This window comes from Homo sapiens, chromosome 5 (genome assembly GCF_000001405.40).
Source record: "Homo sapiens chromosome 5, GRCh38.p14 Primary Assembly".
NCBI lineage: Eukaryota > Metazoa > Chordata > Mammalia > Primates > Hominidae > Homo > Homo sapiens.
In genome coordinates this window covers 146,865,616-146,892,598 of record NC_000005.10, presented here as the reverse complement: position 1 = coordinate 146,892,598, position 26,983 = coordinate 146,865,616, and the positions used below count along the sequence as shown (strand labels likewise).

Genomic DNA, 26,983 nt, shown 5'->3' with positions numbered 1-26,983 from the left:
TAGTGAGGAGCGTGGCTTGGAAGGGGTAAAGACTGAAGGCCTGATGATCTTAAGAAGTTACATGAGATAATAAGAAAAATCATATATGCTAAGCAGAGAGAGGTGGTGGGAGGGACAGAGAGGTGCTCACGTGCATGTGTGCATGTATATTTTAATCAGGCACTGGACACTTAGCAAGAGCTATTTGTAGCCTGCAGAAGCTAGGGAAGGGTTTACAGGAAATTGTAAAGCTCTTTGTCAATATGAGGAATTATTATTTCAACGCTATTTTACATTTCTGATGCCTTTTGATCCCCCTGTGTGGCATGTGTGCAAACCCACTATGAGAAAAGTTAAGAGAATTTGCTCATAGTTCTAGAGCTGATGGAATGCAGAATTGACCTTTGCTCTTCTAAGTCTGGGACTCTTTTTATTCTATTGTGTTCCCTCTGAGCTCAGACTCAAGCTGGGATTTGAAGGATAGGTAGGGTTTGCATAGGTTGAAAAAGTAAGTAAAAACATTTTGCTTCAGAGAAAAAGTACAAGAAAGGACACAGAGGCATGTGAATGGCATGACTGACAGTCTGGAAAGTGTCACTCTGCTAATGACGGTAATCGCTCCATGAGTCTTCCCATCCTTCAAGGCAGAGCATGTGATGTGTAGTGTCTTAAGACCCACTCTTAGAAGGGTCCTGTGCTTGGTTTAATGCTCTGTTGTTGCTGTCTTAAAATTCCAAATACTTTAAGAACAAAAGATGCCCCCTTTTTTTGATTTGGGCCCCACAAATTATGTAGCCAGTCTTGCTTCAAGGCCTAGGTTAGGTATTCTGATCATCTATTTTATCTGTCAAAGCTATTCTCATTCCACTAGATGCCTCTACATTTTTACATTGTGGTTAGTTCACACTTGGTTGGTCTCTTATTCGCACATAAATTACTAACAGTTATCTTTGCAATCAAGTCATAATCTCCTTACAAGCAACTAGAAAGCCTAGTGCTAAGCACATAGTAGGCAGGTAATAAAAATTTGATGTTGAATGAATATACCTCCATTAGAAGCCCACTGACATGAGTTTCATACTCCTTTATAATGAAACCATGTCTTTGAGTTAACTTAAAAAAAATTAAAAAGAGCAAATCTGCTAACATAATTCAAGGGTGAAGACTACACAAGTGAATAAATCTAGCATCCATGTAGACAATGACAGTGTTCACAAAAATGACAGTATCCAACACCTAATACCAAGAGCAAACATTTATTGGGTGTGGATTATGTGCCATGCATTGCTTTAGGCATTTCATTCCATTTTTACAACTACTCTACAAGTGGATCCTATTATAATCTTTGTTTCACAAATGAGATTAGAACACAACATGATTAAGAAACTTGCCCACAGTAAAGATTTGACCTCAAGTAGCCTGGTTCTCAAAAATCATGCCTTTAACCATTTGCCTATTACACTTTACTGACCCATCATAGAAAGGAGACTCACATCTGGCCTTATATCATTACCAGTTAAGTGCTGTATCTGTGACAGCCACTTTTATTCTCTACGAAAAAATTTGCTGGGGACATGATAGCACTGTAATTCTAAACTTGCACTCAACTGTGTACCTTTCTTTGGACCCAGGCCTTATTTTTTTCTCTCTCTCTCTTTTTCTTCCTATCTGTGAAATAGACATAATGAGTCAGCATTTGGAAGCAGGAAGTGCTCTAAACTATGTTGCTGTTGCTGTTTTCCTGGGGAGAGAAATCATTAAATTCTCAAAAGGATCTATGATCCTAAAATGTTAAAGTCATGGCTCAGGGCCTATGCTACTTTTCAATTGTAAATTTATAAACTTGGGTTTTCATCCTTTGTTCAGTCCTTGTAGGGCTGTCAGATACCAAATGGAAATTGCAAAGGTCTCTATTTGTGGGATGTTTAATATTATTATTTTTACTCTATATTTATTCCTTAAATATTTATTGAGTTTTAAAATATATACAACCTTGCTTACAAGTTCAAGGTCCATCTAACTCTTGAATTCTGGCTTCTGTAACTTATCACACTAGTACAGTAATGGCCAGATTGACAACCTTTTTTGCATAATGCCTTGAATTTGTCAACATGTTTCCCACATGATGAACTAAGTTTACCACGTGCTGTTTCCCAAAGCTTCTAAAGCTGCCTATACTTTTCAGATTTCCTCCAAAGAAAGAGAGTGTGGCAAACCATGATGGTGTAGGTGAAGGATAATAGAACTGGTTAAAGATAATAGAACTGAGCATAAAGGCTTCCAACCTGACCTCTACAGCCGTGGCTCAGGAGGACTGATACAGCTCCTCCTGCAGCACTTCCCTGGCCCATCACAGGGCTTAAAAGCAGAGGCAAGGGAGAAAAGAGGAACTGTGTTACTTTACAATTTTGTCCAGGGCTGGCCCTGGTGAGTTTTGAAAGACAGTAGTAATTTCTCCCCTTGACACTGACCTTAACATACTGGAGAGTTAAGCCAACTTAATTGTCCAATAAATTTTTATTAACCTTCTTAAGAAAAAGTGGTGCATATGACGCAAAACAAAAGTTAAGAAGAGCCATTGTGTGTGTGCGGATGTGATCATGGGATTCAGGACACCAGGTCTCATGCTCGTCTGTCACCAAATTACCAGGTAACCTGGGCAAGTCGCATCTTTTCTCTAGGCTTTCATCATCAGCAAAATGACGGGCTAGACCTAATGCTCTCTAAGCCCATTTTTTAGCTATAACTTTGCCAGATGTATGATTAGCATTGCCTGGAGTTAGACAACTGCTAAGTTTGAGGGTGGAATCCCGAAAACTGCCCTAACTTCTGACAACAATTACAAATTCAGAGGGTTTCTAAAATTATTCTCAGTTTTGATAATTCACTAGAAGAACTCACAGAACTCACTGAAAGTGATTATACTCAAGGTTATGACTTATACGGAAAGGTTACAGATTAAAATAAACCAAAGAAAGAGATGCATAAGGCAAAGCCTGGGAGAGTTCCAATTGCAACGTTTCAATTGTTGGATGCATTACCCTCCTGCCATTGACCTCATGCATTACCCCCCTGCCATTAACCTCCTGCCATGTGACAATATGCATAAAGTATTGTCAACCAAAGAAACTTATCTGAACCTCGTATTTAGAGTTTTTATTAGAGCTCAATTATGTAGACATGATGGATTGACTGATTATATACAAGATTGAACTTAGTGTTCAGGTCACCTGATAACCATGTGACCCAAAGCTTCCACCCTAAGTCACATGGTCATCTGGTATTGCCATCCCCACCCTAAGTTCCACTGGAGCCAGTCCTCACCCTAAACAAAGACATTGCTGTCATATATGATACAGATTACCTCCAAGAAGCCTAGGGCAAAACCCAGGCCTCTCTTCAGGCAAGGGTAAACCCTTTACTACATAAGCATCCTAGGTTTGTTGTTCATTAATTTTCCCTTGTGATTCATCCTTATTATTGAGCAAACACATATTCACTCTTTTATTCTTTTAAAAGATATATTAGCATAACTAGTAGTGCCAGGCACTGTTCCAGGTACTGCATATAAAGCAGAGAACAAAATCGTTTCTCTCTCCCTGGAAATTATGTTCTACTGCTGTAATAACCAAAACCAAATAAATATATACAGTCTAGTTGCAATATAGGGATAGAGAGTGACGGGCAGAGATGGAGGTGCTAATTTATTTTATACAGAGTAGTCAAGGAAGGTATCCCAGTGAAGTTGATACTGGAACAGACACCAGAAGAAGTAAAGCACTGAGCTATGCTGGTGTCTGAAAGAGAGGGAACATAAGATGCAAAGGTCTTGGAGTGGGAGTGTTCTCCTGTCTTCCTGTCCTGTCTTCCTTCCATGTCTATAGGGAGTGGTGGTGGTGGGAGGGGAGGTGAAATTTGGTGGTGCTGCATTTGATAAGTTAAAAAAAAGAGCTATAGCTGGAGCTAAATCTTTCCAGCATTTTAAGAAAGTTTTAGTCTGAATGTGTAGGAAGCCAATAAAAGCCTTTGAGCGGAAAAGTGACATGAAGTGATTTGCATTTAAAAGGACCATTCTGCCTGCTGCCTGGAAACTACTCTGTAGGGGTTGGGGGTGAAGGAGGATCAGAGACTGGTTCGAATCTATTGATATAATCATGGTGAGATAGGATGATAGTTGGAGCATGGTAGCAGCAGTGGAGATGGTGAGTAGTGGTTGATTCTGGACATATTTCAAAGTTAGAGCAGGCAGGATTGAAAAGATGGGAATGAGAGAGTGGAATGAAGGAACAGGAGGGTGGGGCAGGGTATTGTGGGGCAGAATTAGGGATTGAGATGCCTTATACCCTGTGAAATATCAGCTTGGCTGCTGGTGATATTGCTCTGGAGGTCTGGGGAGAGGTTTATGCTCAAAGTTCAGATTTAGGGTTTTGTTGTTATGTGAGTGGTGAGCTGTGGGACTGTGGACTTTGAACTTTGAACTCTAGGGTAGTTATACATTTAGAGGTCACAGCAGTGAGGAGCTACCAAGTGAGCCTGAGGAGTGTACACTGAGGCAGTAGGAGAATAAAGAGAGAGCAATGCCCAGGAATCAGTGAAAAAACTGTATTAGGAAGGAGAGAGTACTCAATTGCATACAAAACAAACTGTTTGCATGTATGAGTTAAAGACAATGGAATACCTAATTCAATAAGTCCTCAGAAATTAATCCACTGATCATGTGACCACAACATTCTACTCTCCAGTACAATCTAAAAGACTACTAATGGTTCTCTACTAGATGCCTACAAACTGTACCTTTAAATTTCTCCACCTTCATTGGTTATAATAGTGTCCAGATGCCCAGATATGAAAGTGCCCTTTTGGCAGTGACATCTGGCTATTTGGCTTCTTCTCTTAGCTGGAATTGAAGGTATACATGTTGAACTAAATGGTTGACCTATTAGGATGGTAACTATAACAGTGATGGAATTATATATCACATCTTTCTTGTCTGAGTTTGTTATATGGTATCATCTTACTATTAGAATCCTGGTCTTTTTGTAATTTATTTATTCAGCTTACTAGTTTTAGGGGAAAATGCAGATTGGATTCAAAATTACTATTCTGCATAATATATATATATAGGTATGTCTGTATATATTTTCGTCTTCAGTTTGTATAACTTTAAATAGTTTTGAGGCTTATCAGATTAATGTTATTTGGTTTGGTTTTAGCATTACATTCAAGTTTCTAGTAGGTAAAAATTTATTTCTTAAAGAACACATTAAAACTCTTTTTGCAAATGGAATAAAAATTTTGAAACAGTTCCATTGTACCTCTGCTGTCCAATATGGTAACCATGGTTACCAGCCCCTAGAAATGTAGCTAGATTTGAGAGGTCTTTTAGTGTAAAACACCAGATTTCAAAGATTTGATATAAGAAAAGAATTTAGATATGTCATTAGTAATTCTTTATTGATTATATGTTGAAATTATATTTTGACAGATTAAATAAGATAATTTTATCTTCAAAAAATTCAAATATAAATATATTAAAATGAATTTCATCTTTTTTTCCTCACTTTTTAATGTGGAAATTAGAAAATTTACAATTACAAATGTGGTTTGCATTATATTTCTATTGCACAGAGCCGTTCTATACATTCTGGTCACATATATGTTTTTATATGTGACCAGAATTGTTTTATGTGTCTCTTGACTTCCTGGTGGGAAGAAAATGGTTTAATCTTTTCTATACAAGTTTCATCCTATAAAGTATTTCATGGCATTAAAAATACTTATTTTTTTTTTTTACTAAAAAAGTTTAAAATGATAATCTAAAAAATCTAAAATGATGCATGTTCTAAAATATTTTAACGAAAACATGAACACAAAAGAAAACTACGCATAACCATTGCTAATATTTTGATATATTCCTTTTAGCATATGCACATTTTTTAACCAAAAAATTGTAGCAGTTGGCTTATTCTGGTTTATGATTTTTTGAACATCATGAACATCTATCTTTGTCACTACTTTTAAGCGTTTCTGCACTGCTATACCTTAAGGATATAGCATACTCCATACTCCCCATAAGTAACAGTGGTTTATGATGGTGATGATATTTTTATCTTTAATAACAGCTGTATTGATATCTAACTCACATGCCATAAGATTCAAACTTTTAAACTATACAATTCAGTGGTTTTTAATTATATTCAGAGTTGCGTAGCTATTGCTCCAAATTTATTTTATTTTATTTTAGTTTTATTATTTATTTATTTATTTATTTATTTATTTTTGAGACGGAGTCTCGTTCTGTCGCCTGGGCTGGAGTGCTGTGGCGCAGTCTCGGCTCACTGCAAGCTCCGCCTCCTGGGTTCACACCGTTCTCCTGCCTCAGCTTCCCGAGTAACTGGGACTACAGGGGCCCGCCACCACGCCCGGCTAATTTTTTTGTATTTTTAGTAGAGACGGGGTTTCACCCTGTTAGCCAGGGTGGTCTCGATCTCCTGACCTCGTGATCCGCCCGCCTCGGCCTCCCAAAGTGTTGGGGCTACAGGCGTGAGCCACCGCGCCCGGCCGCCCCTATCTAATTTTAGAACATTTTCAACACCCGCAAAAGAAATCCTGAACCCTTTAGCAGTCATTCCCACCCCTTTTTTTTTTATCCTCAGTCCCTGGCAACCACTAATCTACTTTCTCTGTCTAAGCAGTTGTCTATTCTGAACGTTTCACATAAATGGAATCATACAATATGTCATCTTTTGTGTCTGGTGTCTTTCATTTAGCATAATGTTTTCAAGTTTCATCTATGTTGTGGCATGTTTCAATACTTCGTTCCTTTCTGCAGCTGAATAATATTCTATTGTATGGACATATAACATTTTGTTTATCCATCTATCAGTTGATGGACATTTTGGGTTGTTTCCACTTTTTGGCTATTATAAATAATGCTACTACATGAACATTTGTGTTCAAGTTTTGGTGGGAACACGTGCTTTTAATTCTCTTCAATATATACATAGAAGTGAAATTTCTGGGTCATATGGTAACTGTGCTTAATATTTTGAAGAACTGGCAAACTATTTGTGGCTGCATTGTTATACAATCCCAGAAGCAATGTAGGATTTGAAGGTTCTGATTTTTGCCACATCCTCACCAACACAATTGTGGTGATTTTCAACTGAGAGAATATTTATCCCTAAGAGAGACAAGTAAGAATCTAGCGGTGAATGGTTTGGAAAGAGACCTCCAGGTGATTCTGTTGTGACCTAAACCCACTGCAATAGACACACACACACACTCACAATAGCTCAAATCACAGTGGTTAAGAGCATGGGCTGTAGAGACAGATCATGGGTTGGCGCCAGGCTCTCATCTATCTGACTTTGGTTATATTATTTACCTCTATTAGCCTCAGTAAAATGGAGATGATACTGTATAGAGGCTGTTGTTAGAATAAAATGAGACAATGCAAGTAAAACCCTTTCCACAGTGCCTAGTACATAATAGATGCTCAGTGTTAGCTATAATTACTATATAAATGAATCAATAATTTGCCATCATATGAACTCATTATAATTTGCCTAACAAATTATTTTGTTGGGCATTTGGGTTGTTTCCAGTTTTTCATGATTATAAGCAATGTTCTTTAGAAATAATTTTATGGCTAAATTTTTGCCCACATCCATGGTTATTTTCTTAGAATAAATTCTGTAAAGTGGTATTTCTTGGTATATTTTTTAAAGGTTTGAAAGACATTTCCCAATAGTTATTCTTGTTTAAATTATACTAAAATTTTACTTTGAGCAATGTAGTCAGGTACTAGTATATCCCTGGAGTGTTGCTAACCTGGTTTTGGAAATTCTCACCTTATACCTAACAAATATACTGTAAACTAAAACTTTCTTGCACAGGACAGCCTAAATTTAACTCTAAAACCAATGAATGGTAAGAGGTACAAGAAGATGTTTTATCTCATGCTCTCAGATCTAGACTCTTGAGTTTTGTAACTTTTCTCCCTTTGCATCAATATCCTAACTAGACAAGTAAAACAGCTGTCAGTGAAATCACGCACAGTAGATATTTTTGTTTAGTATTGAAGCAAATCAAGGGCAAGACTAAGGTCACAATAGAACCTGAATAGTCAAAAGGAATGATTCCTTGAGAGTGGGCATGACCGAACATTCCTACGTTGTTAGGTCTAGGAGCCCTATAAAAGCAATTACTCACAAGTCTACCATGGCAATTTCATAACCAACCTGGAAAGGATCAGACAACGACATCAATTTTCCTCTGATGGATATGGGAAACCCTCAGGGAAAGGTAGGATTTTAAGAGTTATTTAACATTATGGCAGAAGTTTGGTTGAATGGTGGAATGCTCTGGAACTGACATAACTTGGGAGATTTATTGTACAGAAATTGGAGGGGACTTTGCACCGATAACAGAGATGAGGGGAAAGACACATCAGCAAGTAATGTGTTTCTACTGGTAGGCTGGTAAATGTTTAACAACTGGCTCTCAAAAAAAAAAAAAAAAAAAAAAACCCTGAATTTACATAGTGTTTTTTTTTAATTTTCTGTGATATAAATATCCTACCATGGCAGATTTCTGATGTTAATGATGTCACTCAAAGCAGAACTAGAAAGACATGTACGTGATCAGCAAAATCAGCTCTCAATAGCCAGTACCTACCAGCTTCAGTGTACCACTGTGTATTTTCATAAGTTTCTGTACTTGAATTTCAGTTGCAGAGACATTTACATGGTAAAATCCATTAAGACCCCAGAGTCTAGAATTAATACAACACTTTGAGGGCAAGAGGTTTTCTTTTCTTTTCCCAGATTAAATGCCACGTTAAAGGATCACTTATGTGGCATTACATGTTGTAGCATGCACAAACAGGAATTGCAAACTTGCTAGAAATTCAAGAGGTCATTCTCTAGACAGCACGTAAACCACCTTAGAGAGAGAGTTGTGCAATTGGTGCTTAGTGATCATAGAGAGAAATTCCATATGATTCCACAATAGAGAAATGTGACTAGGTCTGCACATACATAATGAGAAAGTCCAAGAGAAGATAATCCTGATTCCTTTCATTTGCAGGAGACTTCATGGTTTATAAAGGGCTTTTTGCAAGATGATAAAATTTCATGTATCCAGTTTCTAATTGTTCATTAAGACAGATTGATAGGCAGTAAAACTGAGGTTTCTAGGTCACTTCTGTTCACATGAACAATTGACTTGGAGTGCATCTCTCCAATTCTCTGCAAGTGGGAGATCTCATGAAGTACCGCAGGAGGAAGAAGGGTCATTTTAGTGAAGGCTGGCTCTGAGCCAAACCTGGACTAAGCACTTTCCTTACCTCTGAAGCCACCCAACAACCCTGTGAAGTAGCAACTATTGTTTTCTTCCATTTTGCAAATATAGAGGTTCAGAGATGTTAAACTACTCACCAAAGGTCATGAAATTTATAAATGCCTGAGCTGGGACACAAACCAGGACTGTCTGACACCTAAAGCCTCTATTAAGAATCTCCAGACTGGCTTAGGTCAAAGGTTTTAATAAAATTATAGATATTTAATGTGCTAATTGGACAGGGTGACCCAAAAGTTTCCTGTGTAGGAAGCATTAGCCTAAGGAAGGAAGAGTGGGTATGTGAGTGTTGGGGGAGGGGACCATGACAAGGGTGGTTAAAAAAACGAATGTATCCACATGCTGTCAATACTGAACTGGGTAACATAAGAAGGCTGTGTATTTGTAATTGGCCTTTTCTATGTAAAGCACAAGCCTGAAATAGGTCAGTCTTTCAGAGTTCCCTCTGCTGCCCCCTTTGAAGACTATGGCCCCTTTTACATAAACTGTAAATTAGACACTAAGTTCCATGACATCAGAGACTGACTACATCTTATACACTGATGTTGCTGAATCTATAATCCTATCCCAGTGTCTGACATAGTTAAGTACTTGCACATTTGCTGAACATTGATGATGGTGATGATGACGAAAGTAAATACTCATAGTAATAGCAATGTATTTTTTCCACGTATTATCTCATTTAATCCTTGTAATAACTCTATGAAACAAATACTATTCATTTTCCTAATTTATAGATAAGAAAATGATGCTTTAGGGAGATCTTGTAACTTGCTTGAGGACAGAAAAATAAGTGACAGAAAATGATATCGGAGCCTTGGCACTTAACATTGCACTATAGTCTGTCGATATAGAATGCATTTGCTGTATTGCTAAGAAAGTTCACGTTATTAAAATTAGATGATAGAATTTAAGTTCTATGAAGAAAGAAATTCTGTTTTATATAAATCTATATCCTTGGCACCTAGAGCAATTCTTTTTTTTTTTTTTTCTTGAGAAGGAGTCTTGCTCTGTCTCCCAGGCTGGAGTGCAGTGGTGCGATGCAACCTCTGCCTCCCGGGTTCAAGCAATTCTCCTGCCTCAGCCTCCCGAGTAGCTGGGACTACAGGCGCGTGCCACCATGCCTGGGTAATTTTTTGTATTTTTAGTAGAGACAGGGTTTCACCATGTTAGCCAGGATGGCCTCGATCTCCTGACCTCATAATCTGCCTGACTCAGCCTCCCAAAGTGCTGGGATTACAGGTGTGAGCCACCACACCTGGCCAGAATAATTCTTTACATAATTGCTTGGTAAATTTTGATCGTATATATGCATACAGGAATAAATCGAACCAATTATTTCAATAGGAATACAGCTTATGAGCTAGAAAATTTCCAGCTCACAACAGATTATTTTAATATGAATTTTAAGAAGGGGGGAGGTATGAAACCTAAATATTAAAGTAAGATATTCAGCAATTTATTCATTTGTTTAAGAAATGTTTGTCTCCAACAAATATAATTAAGCATCTACTAAGTGACAGTTAGTCAATAGAAAAGATCTAGTGAGGCCAGGCATGGTGGCTCACGCCAGTAATCCCAGCACTTTGGAAGGCCCAGTCAGGTAGATCACTGAGGTCAGGAGTTTGAGACCAGCCTGGCCAACATGGCAAAACCCCATCTCTACTGAAAAATACAAAAATTAGCTGGGTGTGGTGGTCCATGTCTTAGTCCCAGCTACTCAGGAGTCTGACGCATGAGACTCACTTGAACCTGGGAGGCAGAGGTTGCAGTGAGCCTTGATCGTGTCACTGCAATCCAGCCTGGGTGACAGAGAGACTCTGGCTCAGAAAAATAAAATAAATAAAATAAAAAAAGAAAATAAAAATAAAAGATCTAGTGAAAATGGCCAACAATAATAAGTAAACAAATATTATAAAACGCTGTAGGACATGAAAAAGACAAAAAAAAAATGTGGAGGCAGAAAACACCGGAAGTCAGGACTATCGTGTGGTCAGGGAATGCCTCAACGAAGCAGGGACAGTTAAGAGGCTGAATGCCAAGACATGAGGAAGTGGCAAAGAACATAGCATGCGGAAATGCCCACCACTTTTGGAAAGAACTTGACATTTTAGAGGAAAAGAGAAGTGGCCAGTGAGTCTTTTGAAGACTGATCTCTGCAGCCTACTCCCATCTCCCCCACTCTCTCCCCCACCCCGCCCCCCAGCTCCACAGTGGTGCACAGGGCTCTTTTCACTCCCTTACCTCCACCACAGGTCGTTGTGTTATGGCACAGAGCCAACAGCTTTTTTCCCCTTGGTTTTGGGTGGATGAGCTAGTTCTCTCATATTAGAAAAGAGTAGTTGGCCAAATGGAAACCTTGAAATCTACTTAAACAATGGAGACCTATCCAATCTGCCTTCTCAGAACATGTGTCTTAGGAAAAATGCCTGGACTGTTGAATAAATGCAGGAGAAAGTTTGCAGCATATGTGAAAAGAAAAATAAATAAACCCAGAGACTCGATCTGTGGAAGGGACATTCTCCCCATTGGTTACAATGGAAAATTCCTCAAGCACAGCCTGGCCAATGAGCCTGGGCCTACCTGATTCATCACACAGCTCTGTCCCAATCTAGCCCTTGATTCAGAAAGATACAGGGGAAATTTTCCCAAATACTATTCCAAGGCCTCCTGAAACAATTTTAAGATCATTCCAACCGAAGGCACAATGTCTTCTCATCATTTTGATTCACTAAGAGATGAACTTAGCTTTTCCCCACTCTGCTCCTACTCCAAATTGTGCCAATATCCAAGAGAAGCTGCAATGTGTAACTACAAAAGGACTGAATGTTGGAACCTCGGTGATAGATACAGCTCATCCCATGGAAGAACCAGCCACGACAACTTGTACTGAAGTGGATTAAATCAACTTGTACCCGTCTTCACCTGTTACTAAAATTTTAAATGTGGATTTTGAACAAACAAGTGTATAAGTCTTAAGCACTAGATGAAAATAAAATAGAATCTATTGAAAGTTGAACTGAACTCCCCCCACCACACACACACACACACACACACACACACACACACACACACACACAAAATAACTATGTCAAGGAACATTTCTGCTCTTTTCTCCCAGGGATATGCAGTCAATTTCTGGAGATGAGGAAGATGTCATTTTCTATCTACCAGAAGTATCCATACTGCATGGAAATCTAATGACAATTCCCAACCTCAGTTAAGGACTTGTTTTTCCATTTTTCTGAACTTCAAATACTTTCTAAATTGTGTTAGCCGAAGCATTGTATGTATATAATTAACTCATAGGTCCCTCTGGGCCCATCTAGCTAAACTTGTGGAGCTTAACTGAGCAAAACATTTGCTGATGTCTCTCCCTACAGTGGTACCCATTGAAATGAATACCTTCTACAAGATGAAACCTAGGAAATGTCGTTTCCAATTGGCTTTCTACTGATTGGGGTTGATGTCTTTTCCAAATTGGCTTTCTAGTGATTTGGGTTGCTTCATTAAATGTTTTTGGTTGTTTCATAACAATAGTAATCTCATTTTCTTTCAAAAGTAGAGTTTGAAATTTGGGAAAACATGGGTGGGGAGGGAATTCTACATTTTCTTCCTAGTTGAAGTAGGAAGACAGGTCTCTTTTCTGTATTAATTGGACTCCTGAAATTCCCCCAGGGTAGCAGTGGCTCTCTGTGGGCACAGGGCTCTTATGCTTATGTTTCTGTGCTTCAATGTACCTTCCATGCTGACAGCAAATAGAAGGTGTTCCTGCACAAGCAAAACCTAACGGAGAGGCTGCAATAATTTGTCCAAAACGAAGTGCAAACTGCAAGGGAGAGTGGACTTTTTCAGACTGATCCTGTTTACTAGTCTGGTGCTTTCCTCCACCTGTGTAGACACAGATGCTTTATTGAACACCAGCCTCCTACAGTTAGAAGGTATTTTGACTCTTAGGAATGGGGGAACCAGTTGCAAAGTTCTGGCCCCTGATCCCCCTCCTATTCCTACTAGAGGGCTTAAGATAGGCTCTGAGCGGCACTTCCCACTTTCTCCTCTTTTTCTGAAGCTTCGAGCCCCAAACCTCGCCCTTTAAATTCACCAAGGGACCACATGCATCATATAAGGGTGAGGAAAAGGGACCTGGATGTAGACTTCCTGACTATCCAAAGGAACCTACTTCTCTTTGCTGTTCTCAAGTTCAGGCGTCCGGAGAAAGGCAGGGAGCTAGGGGCTCTGGGTGCTAGCGTAGACGTGGCCCTTAGCTGAGTGGCGCGAGAGGGGAGGAGGTTGGAAGAGCGCGTCTATGCGTTCCACCTGAACCTGCAAGCTAGTCGCTTGCTGCCCAGGTGCCGATTCGCGGCTGCATGCGCCCCACTGCAGCAAAGAGCAGCCGCAGCCTCTGCCTCGGCCACCACTGCTGCTGGGAAAGAGTCGTGGGGCTGCTGACGCGGTTGGGAGGAGCCTCGCCTTTAATGCACCAGCCGCCTCCAGCCTCCTGCAGCAGCAGCAGCAGCAGCAGCAGCAGCAGCTGCGAGTGCGCGCGTGTGGGTGTGAGGGTGAGTGCGCTGGCGCCGGCTGCAGCGCCCTGCCCAGCTCCCCGCCAGCTTCCCTACCCCCGCCTGCCGGAGCCGCCCTCCCGTGGGACCAGCACCCTCATTCCGGCCAGGCAAGCCTGAATCCTGTCCCTGCCATCTCGCCACTGCAGCTCGGGTCCAGAAAGGCACCATTTTGTCGCGGCTGCCCGCTCTCCCAGGGGGAGGAGGGATCTTTTTTGCATTTTGGAGCGGCTGCCAAGGAGGGGAACCTGTTGGGCATCTCCCCAGACCCGCTTGTGAGCGCCTCCGGGGCGGGCGGGCGGGACCAGACCCCTCGGGGCACGGCGTATCTTGGCACCCGGAGGCAGCGGAGGCAGGCGCAGCATCCTCGCTGGGAACTGGAGCTGGAGTGAGCGCACCGCGCGGGAGGAGCCGCCGCAGCCTCGCAGAACCCGAGTGGAGGAGGTGACAGCTCCATTGCCGGGTTTTTATTTTTTTTCTCTCCGCCTCCCCGTCTCCTCCTCAGGCTCGGACCATGGTGCAGTCCCACTGGCTCCCCTGCCCCCCTCTCCTGTGAGACTGGCTGCGGGGAGGGATCATGGATACTTGTCTGCCGGCTTCTGGTTCCCACGCAAGTAAGCCTGCTGTCAATGGAGGAGGACATTGATACCCGCAAAATCAACAACAGTTTCCTGCGCGACCACAGCTATGCGACCGAAGGTAACGCCAGCCCCGCCGCATTCCGCCGTTGGGGCCGGGCGCAAGTTGCGGATCACTGTGCTTCCTGGGCAGCTGGGCGCGTAGTGGCGGAGACTCCTCCGGGCCCTAGGGCTGGGGCGGGGGCTCGGCTGGCCCCGGCAGCCCCAGTGCACCTCGCATCCATCCGGGCTCCGCGAGGCGAGCTCGGCGTTCAGCAGCAGGTGGACCCGGCGCCCACGGGAGTTAAAATGGCCCTCAGGGATTAGGCTTTTTCAGGGTGGGGCTCTCGCCCAGAAAGATGACCCCAGGAAGGCAGATGACCCCTTCCCCGAGATGTTCGCAGGGGTCTTGGGGGGAGATAAGAAGGGAGGGGCCCAGTAGGACCTTGGTCCCCCCTCCCTGAGCGAAACGATGTTATGTCTCTCAGTGGCTGCAGGGAGGGCAAGGTTTCATTTCCTGCCCATTCATCTCCCCGGCCGGCCAGGTTACCTGCTTAGACAATCAAAACCCCAAAAAGCCCTTTGCAGACGGGCGAACCTCTTTCCTTTTGGAAGTGCATTAGCAAAAATAAAAAGGTGGCTGGGGAAATAGTGCTCTGGCGGGCAGCGAATGAGGCTGACACGTGGGGTGAGCAACGCGATCGGTGGGGCCTTTAAAAATCACCATTATGAATTCTGCAGCAGTAGTTTCTGCTGAATCAACAGCCAGCAGAAAGCAAAAGGGTTCAGCAAGCTGAGCTTTGCCAAGAGGTGAAATTGTCGTCTCTCCCTCTCTCCCAGCTTGTTCTGACATAAGCACTAGTGCTGTGCGGGCAGGAAGGGAAAGTCAGCAGGTGGAATCTCATTCTGCCTTTTGTGTGTGAATAGAGAGTAGAGGCATTTTTTTCCCCCAGTGCCAAAACTTTTGCATTTTTGCTTTCATTTTCTACCTGTAGGCCTTTTATCCTTAGCCACTCATACAAAGTGTTGCATTATCACATTGTAATATCCATGCGAGAAAATGTATGTGGAAATGCTTTAGGACAATGTTGCAAGGTGTATTAATTTAAAATTATTATTCTTGGATGCTAACATTTCTGTAATATTTAATCAAATCAAAAGACTGCTAGAGAAATGTGATGGGGGGAGTAAAAGAGTTCAAGCTCTGAAAGAAATAAAAAGACACACACACATCTGGGGGTAAAGGTGGCATCTTCTATAAACATCCCTGGAAGTTCTAGACAGAAAGAATGTCCAGTGCTATTGAAAGTATATTCTCCATTTGTCATCATTTTTGGAGAGCATCAAGCCCAGTATGCCCATGGTGCTAGACAGATAAAGCAGAGTTGTAAGCTCTGGCTTCCAGGAGCTTAGAGATGGCTTTTAAGATGTGCAGCCCATCCCTCCCCTATACAGAGCACCATACTTACCGATTCTTTTTCTGTGCATGATGGCAACCTGATTGTAAGATGTTCTCCCTCAATCTTAGTGCTTTGTCACTGACTCAGTGACCTGATAGCACATGACTAACTCTGTATCTAAGCATGTCATCCAAGAGAGAAGTTGGCCTTGGGTCTGTTGGCTTTTGGGGGAACATTTATTTCTGTTTGTAACCACAAAGAAAGAGAGCTGCCTTCATGTTTTCTTGTATATTACATTATGCAGGCAAGAGAAACTTAGCAAGCTGAGAAAATGCCCAGAGTGGAGCTATGTGTACAGGAGTGTCAATTGTGAAGTGAAGAAATCAGTTAAAAATGGCATTCTTTATTGTTTTCAGGGCCCTGGATATTACCGTTGTTCTTATTTTTATTCCATTTTTGAAAACTCTGATTCTGGATAGAATATCTAGGTTCACATAGTCAAAAATAGATATGAGTTTATAGCAATGAGATTTCTGGCATGTGAGAATCAACCTCTCAGATTTCTTTCTCTTTCTCAAACACACACACATACTAATCACACTCAAAACTAACAAACCTTTATTTCACAGAAGCTTCTAGGTTTTAAAATCTGATCTTAGAGAAGGTATGAAAAGAAAAGGAAAATAGAACTTAAACGATGTAAATACCAGAAGTTGGATAGAACAAGAAGTTCCCTACAGTTTTGACCTATTCGTTTCAGGGAAGATTCATGCAATTTTGTTGCCAGAGGGGGAAGAGTCCCTGTTCTTCCAATGAATTCCTTAAGAAGTGTTAGTATACCTTGAAAAAGCACCAGATCAAAAGACTTTTTAAAAATTCTCCTCACTGGGGACTTGCCCCACAAGTTTTCTTCCCCCTTATTAACTTATACCCTCTTACTGGGTGGGGAATTAGCTTCTAGTCCTTCCATAGATCTTGCTTTTCTGTTTCCTTTACTATTTCTACATTTTCCTCCTACCTGCTCAGTTATGTCAGATTGTTCTTTTTTTTCCTCCAAAATATCTCCTTCACATGTATTTCTGAATTTTTCTTCTGTTTGCTCAGATCATTCCACATTGCAGTGTTCTATTTAAAGCTGAAAGGTTTTTGCTGTGTAGTTAGTGTGAAGGACTCTAAACTCAATTTGCATTGTAAGTGGTGACTGCAGGCAAGTTCATCCAGCTAAGAGCAATGCAAATGCTAAAGGACACTTTCACCCAAGCTCCCCTCTCTCAGTCTCTTTCTCTCTCTCTGTCTTTCTCAAAAGAATGCATGGTGTGCATTTAATAAATAAATTTCCTAGGACTTTTTTTTAATTCTGAGCATGAAAATTACCACCCTCCCCTACCTTTCCTCCTCTTTTAAAGTTAACATCTTTGAGCATCTTCTATGTTCCAAGCACTGTGCTGAGCTCTTTATGTATAGCATTTCAATATATCTAAACCCTGTTAAATGGATGTTGTCATTTCCATTTTCAAAGAAGGAAACTGATGCAACTGAGGTCTGAAGATGTTACTAATTTGCCAAAAGTCACACATTCAATGGAAAACCTTGTCTTCAAACTCAAGCCAGTGTCTGAAGGCCAGGTTCTCCCACTAGGAAATTCTGCACTACTTCATTTTCCTTTAACCATCAGCTCTTATTCTGGGAAAGATTGCAATGGTTTTATCTCAGTGTATAAGCTATATTTCCATCAGGCATAAAATCCTTTGCAGGGAAAATTTGAAGTGTGTGTATGGGGTTATATAGAGGAAGGGCCTTGGGTAGGGTTGAAATTTCCCACAAAAATAAAGTCAACACAATGGTTTGATTTTTTTTTTCAGATATGGAACCCCAGGTTTCCTAACCAGGGATTCATCTCTCAAATCTCTCTATATGTGGGTTTCCTGCTATATTTTTAGGCTTCTGTTACAGCCAAGTAAAACCCTATCTCCATTATAGCAGTCTGTGAGTTTTCTAGATTAATCTTCCTACTTTCAAATGGGGCCACAGATAGACCAAATATTCTACATAGATGGGGTGTTTTAAAATAACTGCTCTGTTCTCAGTTTCCTTAGCTGGAAAGTGGGAATAACAATAGAACCTATGCCAAAGAAAAATTATTTGATGCAGAGAAAGCACTCAAGCACTCGGGATATGCCTAATACAAAGCCCACCCTTAATTCATTATAGCTGTTATTGTTACTTAATGTACTTCCTGGTTATATTCTGGCAACAAGTGGGTTCCACCTTCCCTCAGAAGCCTTTTTAAAAAACTGTCTTGTTTATACATATTAAAGGAAGAACAAGTTTACTATTCCAAGTAGCTCCTTTCAATTATTGATTCATTCTGCCTTTAATTCCTTCAACAAATACTGACGTTTTGCAGAGGTGATACGGGATGTTCCAATACAGACGTGGTCTCTGTCCTCAGGGATCTTTCAATCTAGCAAAGGAGATAGTATGAGACAAATAATTTTGCAAATAAATATATAGTTACCAATTGTGATAAGTGATATTTAGGAAAGGCACAAGATGCCTTGGGGTCATAAGGTGGAAAGGTGGATCTAATTTAGATCGGGAGTTCAAGGACAGCCTCTCAGACAGCTGAAACTGAGAACTAAAGGATGAATTTGCAATTAACAAGACCTGAAAGCATTTTAGGTAGAAGGGACAATAGGTACAAAAGCCCAGAGAGATAAAATAGCCTAACTGATTCAAGGAATGGAAAGATGACTATGGCTAGGAACAGGGAGAAGAGTGATAAAAATGAGAATGGAGTCTGCAGTTCATTTTGAAATGTACCAGAAGCAAGAAAGATTAATGCTAAGAGAGAGGGATGGGTAAATGGATAGACATATGATAAAGCAAGTATAAAATGTTAGTCACTGGCCAGCCATGGTGGTGTATGCCTGTAATCCCAGCTACTCAGGAGGCTGAGGCAGGAAATCGCATGAACCCAGGAGGCAGAGGTTGCAGTGAGCCGAGGTCGCGACACCGCACTCCAGTCTGGTGACAGAGCGAGACTCCATCTCAAAAAAAAAGTTAATAACTAAATTGAGGTGGTGGGTCTATGGATAATCACTGTAATTTTTTTTCCACTTTGCAGTCTGTTTGAATTTTCATAATAAAATGTTGGGGGAAAAAAAGACTGGAGAAGTATTCAGGGACCAGATCATATCAAGCCTTGTTGACCACAAGGAGTTTGGACTCTATCCAAAGATGAATGGAAAGCCATTAAGGAAAAGGGAAACATGATCAGATTTGTTTTTCTAGAAGTTTAATCTGGCTGCTGTGTAGGATGGGGTTAGAGAGCCAGGCATGTAATGAAAAAGAATGAAAGTTGGGAGATAATTAGGAGGTCATGGTGTGCTCCAGGATGGTGGCATCAGTAGAGATGGAGAGAATTAGATGGATTTAAGATACGTAATAGAGAAAGATTGCATTGCACTTACTTACTATGATTGGGTGCAGATGGAGAAGGTGATGTCAAGGACAACTCCCAGAATTTTGCCATGAAAATGGATGCATAATGGGGCGCATCACTAAAAGCGGAAACAGACTGAAAACTGATTAGTTTGAGAAGACAGTGAGACATCTAGTTTCACAGTGAGACTTGCAAGTAGACAATTGGATTTCTGGGTCTGAAGCTCAAGAGAAAGACCTGGACTAGATAATAAATTTGAGATTAAACATCACCAGCATATTAAAGGTACTTAAAACTGTATGAATAGATGAGATGCCTCAGATAAGAACATTTCAGGGCAAAATTTGAACCAATGAGTGAGAAAGTACAAGGAAGTGGATCTTGGCTTGGTATGAAGAAATTGTAGCAAAAAAGTACCTCACAATAGAATAGGGCCTTGGTAAGCATAAATAACCACACACTGATATTATTCAAGTAATACTATAATATATGGCCATTTCTCAGCAATGTGGTAGGATAAGAAGAGTCCAGTCTTGGATGAGTTGAGTTTAGAACGTCTCCAGGTTTGAGATCTGAGTGATTTGTGAAATACATTAGCTTTTTAGGGCCACAGAGAGTAAAAGTGAGGAAGTAAAGATTCCTCCTCCATCCCCCATTCCAAATAAGCTCAAGAAAGGGGAAACTTATAATGAATAAAGCTGGGAAGGTACATGAAAATGGCTTTTGATATGAAGATGCTGGGAAGGCATTGAAAAAATAAAAGGGGGTAGTGTCATATGATGGAGAGCTGCCTCATAGTTCCTTAAGTTGCTTTGGTATTTGTATGCAAATGCCAGATCAGAATGCTGTTTCCAATGCATATGGATGAATGTTTGAGCTCTCTGCTGTTCTCAGAGAAACCTGAAATGCGAGGTGAGAAGTAGCTGCCTTACACTATTGTAAATGACCTTTCTGGGGATGGGAAATGTTCTGCTACTAAACATAATAACCAGAATGCATTGAAAATCACTAGCAAGTATTCATTATTAGCATCCAGGTCCCCAGGGGCAATCCCAAGCCCTTTATGAGTGCTGGTCAGAAATGTACCAATGATCCTGGGGTGAATAATATTAGGCCAGTCCTGTCAAAATATTGGTAATGCCCAATGAAAAGAGCACAGCTGTAGACTGACATTCCTAGACTTTGGCGTTTGCATTTAAGAAGAAATAGGGGTCCAATTTCGACACTTAGCTGAGGGAAAGAAACTAAGGTATCGCGAGTACTGTCTATTCCAGGCATTTTCCTAGGTATTTCTTATGTTTACTCATTTAATCTCCATCAACAACCCAGAGAGAATGGTTGCATTAACCTCATTTTTAAAATAAGAAATTTCAAGGTACAGAGAACCAAAGGAACTTGCATAACAAATACACATGTATTACAAACATACTCACTTGTAAGTGGCATAACCAGATTAGAGCTCATGACTGTGTGGATTCTTGGCACATGTTCTTTGCTCACCCATGCTGCTCAGGATCTTTTGGAGAAATGCAAGTTGTGCTCCACCCTCCACATATATCCCATTGGCGCCTGGTCGGTGCTGCTGGATTTACTTGATCTATCTTCTCCTAGCACAGCAGTGCACGTCTCTGGGCCTTTTCCATTATCCCACAGGGAGGAAGCTGAATTCTACGACCCAGTAACAGAATTCTTAGCTGACTTACTCCTGTAGATTTCTTCTGTTATATAATAAGAACAGAAAAAAATGTTTATGGAATTGAGCAATCAAGATGTGAGAACTAGCTGGAGTTTTTTGAATAGCTTTCTCCATGTCACTCATCCCCAGTGTAGGACAGTAAGCATGCAGCTCCCAGACTGAGCTGAGCTGAGATGGTCCCGCTGGGCCATCTAGGCACCCACTCTTCCCAGCTCATGACAACTCATATAGTTGCCTGGGCCACAGCAAGAGAAATATGACGGAGGCAGCTGTGGGATGGCAGATGTTCTTTTGCACATAAATATGTAGATGTCTGAGGCTTCACTTTGGCCAGAGTGGCTCTCCAGCTGGTTCCCCTCATCTTCCATTAATAAGAAGACGATTTTGCTTTCACCCAACTTGTCATCTTTACCACCAAATTTCCTTCTTTTGACTCCAATAGAACTCTAGAATCAGGCTGAAAGTCAGCCCCAACATAACTATCTCGCAGAAAGCACAGATTATTTTTATAAGTCCACTAGGAACTTTGTCAGAAATAACCCAGGAACCTTTGAGTTCTCCTGCTCCAAGTTCACTGTGGAAAGAGTTAATAGTGGGAAATATTAATTGTTAATGTTCATAGCTTTCTTTGGAGAAAGGGTCATCCTGGGTAATGAGAAAGGGTGTGTGCTTGTATGGGGGTAGTCAGACTTTCACTTCTGTGCTTTAGAGGTAAATGACTTGATCGCTTACAACAAATGTTAAATGAAGTGGGGTGGGGGTCTGTGTGTAAGGGGAAAAAAGATGTATGGAGTTTAGGAATCTAGAGGGGCCCTTATGAACAGGTTTTAACCTGAGAAGGATGGGGTCTGTTGGACGGAGCGTGGCGAAGAGTACCTTACCTGTGGGAGGATGTGTTTCAGGTGTACTGGCCTTTGTGCTTGGTGTATTAGTCAGCTCAGACTGCATTTTTAAAAACGCCACATACTGGGTTGCCTAAATAACAGAAATTTTGTTTTCTCACATTTCTGGAGTCTGGAAGTCCACGATCAAGGTGCCAGCATGGTTGGTTTCTGGTGAGTTCTCTCTTCCCATGTATAGCCAACTTCTTGCTGGGTCCTCATATGGCCTTTCTCCTGTGTGCAAGTGTGAAAAGAGAGAGCGCAATCTCTGGCATTTTTTTTTCTTCTTGCAAGGGCACCAGCCCCATAAGACCTTATCCTTATGACCTCATTTAATCTTAATTATCTCCTTAAAGGACCTATCTCCAAATACAGTCACATAGGAGTTAGGGCTTCAACATATAGATTGGGGTGGAGGGGGGCACAATTTGGTCCATAACACTGGGGAACTGAAAACCTCCTCCATCAAGCATTGCTTATCACACTGGTATGAATCCTTGCTAAGCAATGAACCTGAAGTGGTCAAAGAATGGCAGGCCGCCTCCTCCACTTGACGTAGAAGGATCAGCTTGATGTCCCTCTACAGACACACAAGGGTGTAGAGGGTGGCAAAGCTGTAAATGTCTCTAATAGGGAATATTGTAGCAAGATGCTGCTGAGAGTTCCCAGGTGGTCTGAAAGATAGAACTTGGGTCCCTAAGTACAAAATACCACCAGGAAGGACCCTACCACAGTGGGAGAGCCACACAGGAAACTCAGTGAAACTAACATTGCTTATGTAGCTTTGTAGAAGTCAGGTTAGGGCTAGAGACACTCAAGTTGGGAGGTCTGTTGGTTCATGCCAACTGCATTATTATAATTCACATTTCCCTCTGCCTTTATGTTTTTATTTATAAGTCAAATAATACTATATTCTTTCTTACTTAAAAGGATTCAAGCATGATAAGTAAATAAAGCATGAATCACCCTCCATCCCATGCCCATCCCACTTTCCTACCCAAAGGTTACCATTATCAGTAGTTGGTAGACTTCCTCAGAGCCATCTTTCTATTCATACATTTAAATATACATGTACAGATATATAGTTGGGGAGGATGTTTGCATAAATGAGTACACACTGCCCGTTTTATTTGCACTTTGTTTTTCTACTAGTGATACGTCTTCAAGATTTTTCCATATCAGAACACCTACATCTGTCTCATGCCTTTTAATGGCTGCACGGTGCTCCATAGTATGACAGTACCACAGTTTATTTAGTAGTTCCCTGTGGATAGAAAATCGTTTCCAGCTTTTATATTACATAAGATGCTGCAGTGATTATCTGTGTATATGTGTTTTTGTTTAAATGTCCTCCTTCCTGATTTTATTATCTTTAAAGCTGAGATGACAGTTCCCATTTCTTAGCAAAATGGCAAGAAAAAATCAGAAATCTGTGGTCTTCTATTTGTTTTCTGTGTAACCTTGGATCAGTCATTTAAACCAAGAACCTGAATTTCCTAATGTAGAGAATGAGAATACCTGATCTACCTATTCATATGTGCCCAGTACTGTGTCTTCCAAAACCATTGTGGATTTGAATGTTAATAATTAATAATGATTGCTGGTAGTTATGGAGGGCTTTCTGTGCACCAGTACAGGCTTAGAGCCTTAAAGTATTTTTCTCATGTAATCCAGTTTACTTGTATAGGCTGATACTGTTCTTATCCCCCTTTAAATGAAAAGTTAAAGCAGAATAATATGATTACTAGTCCATAGTTACACAACAGTGAGTAGAACAGAAGTCACATCCAGGTCTATCTGATTCCAAACCCTGTATTCTTAAACTTGGCAAAAATTCATCACAATGTAGTATATGAACACCTGTTTAAAAGAACAGTTATGATGTTGATAGGGAAAAGATGATTCATTTTTCTAAAAAATATTCTTCTGAATCAATCAATACAAGGGTCCAATTTCTACCAAGGATTTGAAAATGAACTGGGGGGAAATGGAAAGGCAATGCAGTATCGTAAGCAGTTATGTGGAATGCACATCAGAAGACCTGGGTAGGATTCCAGTCCTGCTACCATAATTTGTCACTTTTATTCTCTGGGCTTCAGTTTCCTAAGCTACTATAATGAGGTTGAAGATGGGGGAGGGAAGGCATGCTCTCTACAGACTTTTCTGACTCTCAGTTTCTATGAGGCATTATTTCTGTATTTGTGATCATCTAGGTCTCTTTGATATGTTCTGATGTTCACCTCAGGGGTGAGACTGGGAAAACATGGCCATAGGCTTTAAATGACCCCAGAAATTCCAGGTCTGGCTGTACTTCCTGGGTCAAATCATCCTTCTGGCAAGAAGGTTCTGGTGCAGCCAAGAGGCAGAGCCAGAAAGGGAAACTTCTCTTTGCCAAAAGCTGCTGCAGATGGAGGAGCCAGTCTGTCTGGGCAGCCATGACTTTGAGAGGAGCCATTTGGCAAAGTTGTTGGCAGGAGCTGCCTTGCAGCATGAATGCTGGAGACAGTCCTGGGCTGGAGTGAATCAGGGACTCAGCAAAGGTGGCTGGTGGAACAAATAACCATCTGGTGAGCAGGGTGCTGCTCATCTTGCCACACTGATGGGGAAGAGCAAGTGCCAATCAATGAGGTTAAGCTCTCAATGACATGATCTGACAGGCACAATAGAATTTCTCTCCTGTTATTTTATACTCCATGGTGGGGGTTATAAACTCCAAGGGAGCATAATTTTTTCAGAAACCAGGAAGGCCCCAATTTCTTCCACTATTATAAAGTAGGAAAGAAAATTTAACAATTCAAACAAAAATTATTTATTGCCAAGTGCTATGTAGGAAGTTCTGGGGCATATGGTGAAGTATAAGCCTATAGTCTTGTTCTCAAATGTCTTTCCATCTATTTGGGCAGGTGACACTCCGTCCTTCTCAAAATATAATTAACCACAGAAGCCAGGGTGCGTGAAACTGTGTCCTGTTTATCTCTCTGTTATCATGAGGTGGCCGAAGTGGTGGAATCAGAGCCCACCTGGCTCTAGACACACCTCTGGCTATGCTAGTTCTGTGGCCTTGGGCAGGTCACTTCATCTTGCTGAGTGTTTTCTTGCCAACAAAAATATGGCAGGGGATGAGGCAACATGTTACTATTTATATGTGATAAATAAATAAATACAAAAGATTCCCTCTCTACTCCATGCATTTGGGACCAATAGTTGACAGTAAACTTGAAAAGTTAAGGCAAGGAGTCATAAAAAATAACATACCATTTAAATTTACTAATTTCAATGAAAGGCCCGATGAAGAATCAAGACCTTACCTTTGAGTATGGATCTGCTGATTAGGGGTTGTAATATTTTTCTTGCATGAACTGTCCCCCAAATGACAAAGACCATGCCCAATTTTGATTTCCTTGAGGTTGAACAAGACCATAGATATCGCAGAAGCAATCTTACTACAGAATACTTCTAGATTTTTGTAATTGTTCCCCAATTTTTATATCTCCTACTTTTAATTTGACAATGCTTTGTCAAGTCTTTTGAAATTCTTCAACTGACTTTTCATATGAAACAATCATCCTCCTTTTAACACTATTCTTCTCATTACCTTTCATGATATTTAATTAACTAACAAGTATAACTTGCATCAGGAGATTTGGAAACAAACACAAATGACTCTCAGTAAACATGCAACTCAACCTGAAGGAGCAGAAGTTTGCCTATGTACCAGAGATTAGTCTACTCAATTAGCTGTGAGTACTTATAAAGGATGTTGTAGGCCTGTTTTACAGAAAGAATGGAAGGCACTTTTTCTTCTTGGAGTGTCAGCTACTTGGAGGTCTGTTAAAAGGACTTCTGCTGTAATTATGATCATGAGGAAGAGCCACTATATACTGAGTGCTTGCAATGTAGCAGGAATCAGGTTAAGTATTCTGGATGTACTCTATGTGATATACTATGTATTATGTATCTATGGTATACTACATATGATGTATATATGATATAGATGCCTCTGTGTGCATATATATGTGTGTGTATATATATGTATGTATCTGCGTGTGTGTATATATATATAATTTAATCTTCACCACAACCCTCAAAAGTATGTATAATTAGAGCTGAATTAGGTGAGACTTTAGATCTTATTCACCATTGTTTATCCATCTCCTAGTATAGTATCTGGTGAAAAAGCACTCATTACACACTTATGGAGTGAAAGAGAAAATAGATTTCTACTTTGCTGATGATAAAACTGAGGCTTAGAGAATTTGTGTCATCTTTCCCAGTATCAATCAGCAGACCCAGGACTTGAATGCAGGTATGTCTGACATAAAAATATATGTTATTAAGAGCAAACTGACGTACAATACAATAATTTTTCTGTACAAAGTTATTGGACATATACTTTGGATCTCATATTGCCTATGAATATTCTAATAGAATGAAACTTTGGTATTATCTCCATTTTGTAAAATTATGTCGATGTTCTAGAGCAGGGATCAGTAAACTCTTCCTGTAGAGGGTCAGATGATAAGTATTTTAGCCTTTGCTGACCATACAGCCTTTGTCCCAGCTACTCAATTCTTCCATTGTAGTATGTGGACATGGCTGTATTCTAGTGAAACTCTATTTACAAAATCAAGGAGTAGCCTGTAGACCATCATTTGCTGACCCCTGTTCTAGAAGAGTACCGGGAACCTAATAGAGGTCCAAACAGTATTAATCGTCTAAGTGAGTGGCTGCAGTAAGTGCTAGAGGGAAGCTCACCTCACCAGAAGTGGTTAAGTGGGGAGGTGGGGCCTTGGTAGGATGCTGGCAGGTAGAGATGGGTGGCAATGGCTTTCCTCATTGGAGGCAGAGTCTTGTGTGATGTTAGGAGGCAAAAGTATGCGAGGAAGGTGGCATGTTGTTTTAACAAGTGAGCTGGAGATTAGAGATGTAATGGAATGAATGTTTGACAGCTCATTAGAGTCCTCACACATAGCCATATCCCTTCTAATCAGTGTCTGTCCAATAGTTCACTCAGTAGTTATTTTAAAAACATTTATTATATATTAG

At 40.7% G+C, this 26,983-nt stretch overlaps 1 protein-coding gene across 10 annotated transcripts in view, besides 2 other annotated features; it reads left to right on the top strand.

The window, feature by feature from the left end:
* PPP2R2B (protein phosphatase 2 regulatory subunit Bbeta) overlaps window positions 1-26,983 on the top strand; it is a 500,779-nt gene that overhangs the window by 188,922 nt on the left and 284,874 nt on the right. For 2 of the 10 annotated variants that reach the window (NM_001271900.2, NM_181674.3), the window contains one exon: window positions 14,404-14,597. The exons of 4 other annotated variants lie outside the window; for them this stretch is intronic. In NM_001271900.2, coding sequence (NP_001258829.1) covers window positions 14,404-14,597 — 194 coding nt within the window. Of the gene's footprint in view, window positions 1-13,841; window positions 14,598-26,983 lie in introns of those variants that run through there. 4 more of the 10 variants (NM_001428277.1, NM_001271948.2, NM_001428279.1 and 1 more) reach the window with 3 other exon arrangements.
* Window positions 13,840-13,871: a tandem repeat, named in NCBI's record as "protein phosphatase 2 regulatory subunit Bbeta repeat instability region".
* Window positions 13,841-13,870: a repeat instability region, noted in NCBI's record as "repeat instability region; expansion of the (CAG)n trinucleotide repeat (CTG relative to the plus strand of the reference genome) is associated with spinocerebellar ataxia type 12". NCBI's record gives the evidence for it as "EXISTENCE:Southern hybridization evidence [ECO:0000078][PMID:10581021]".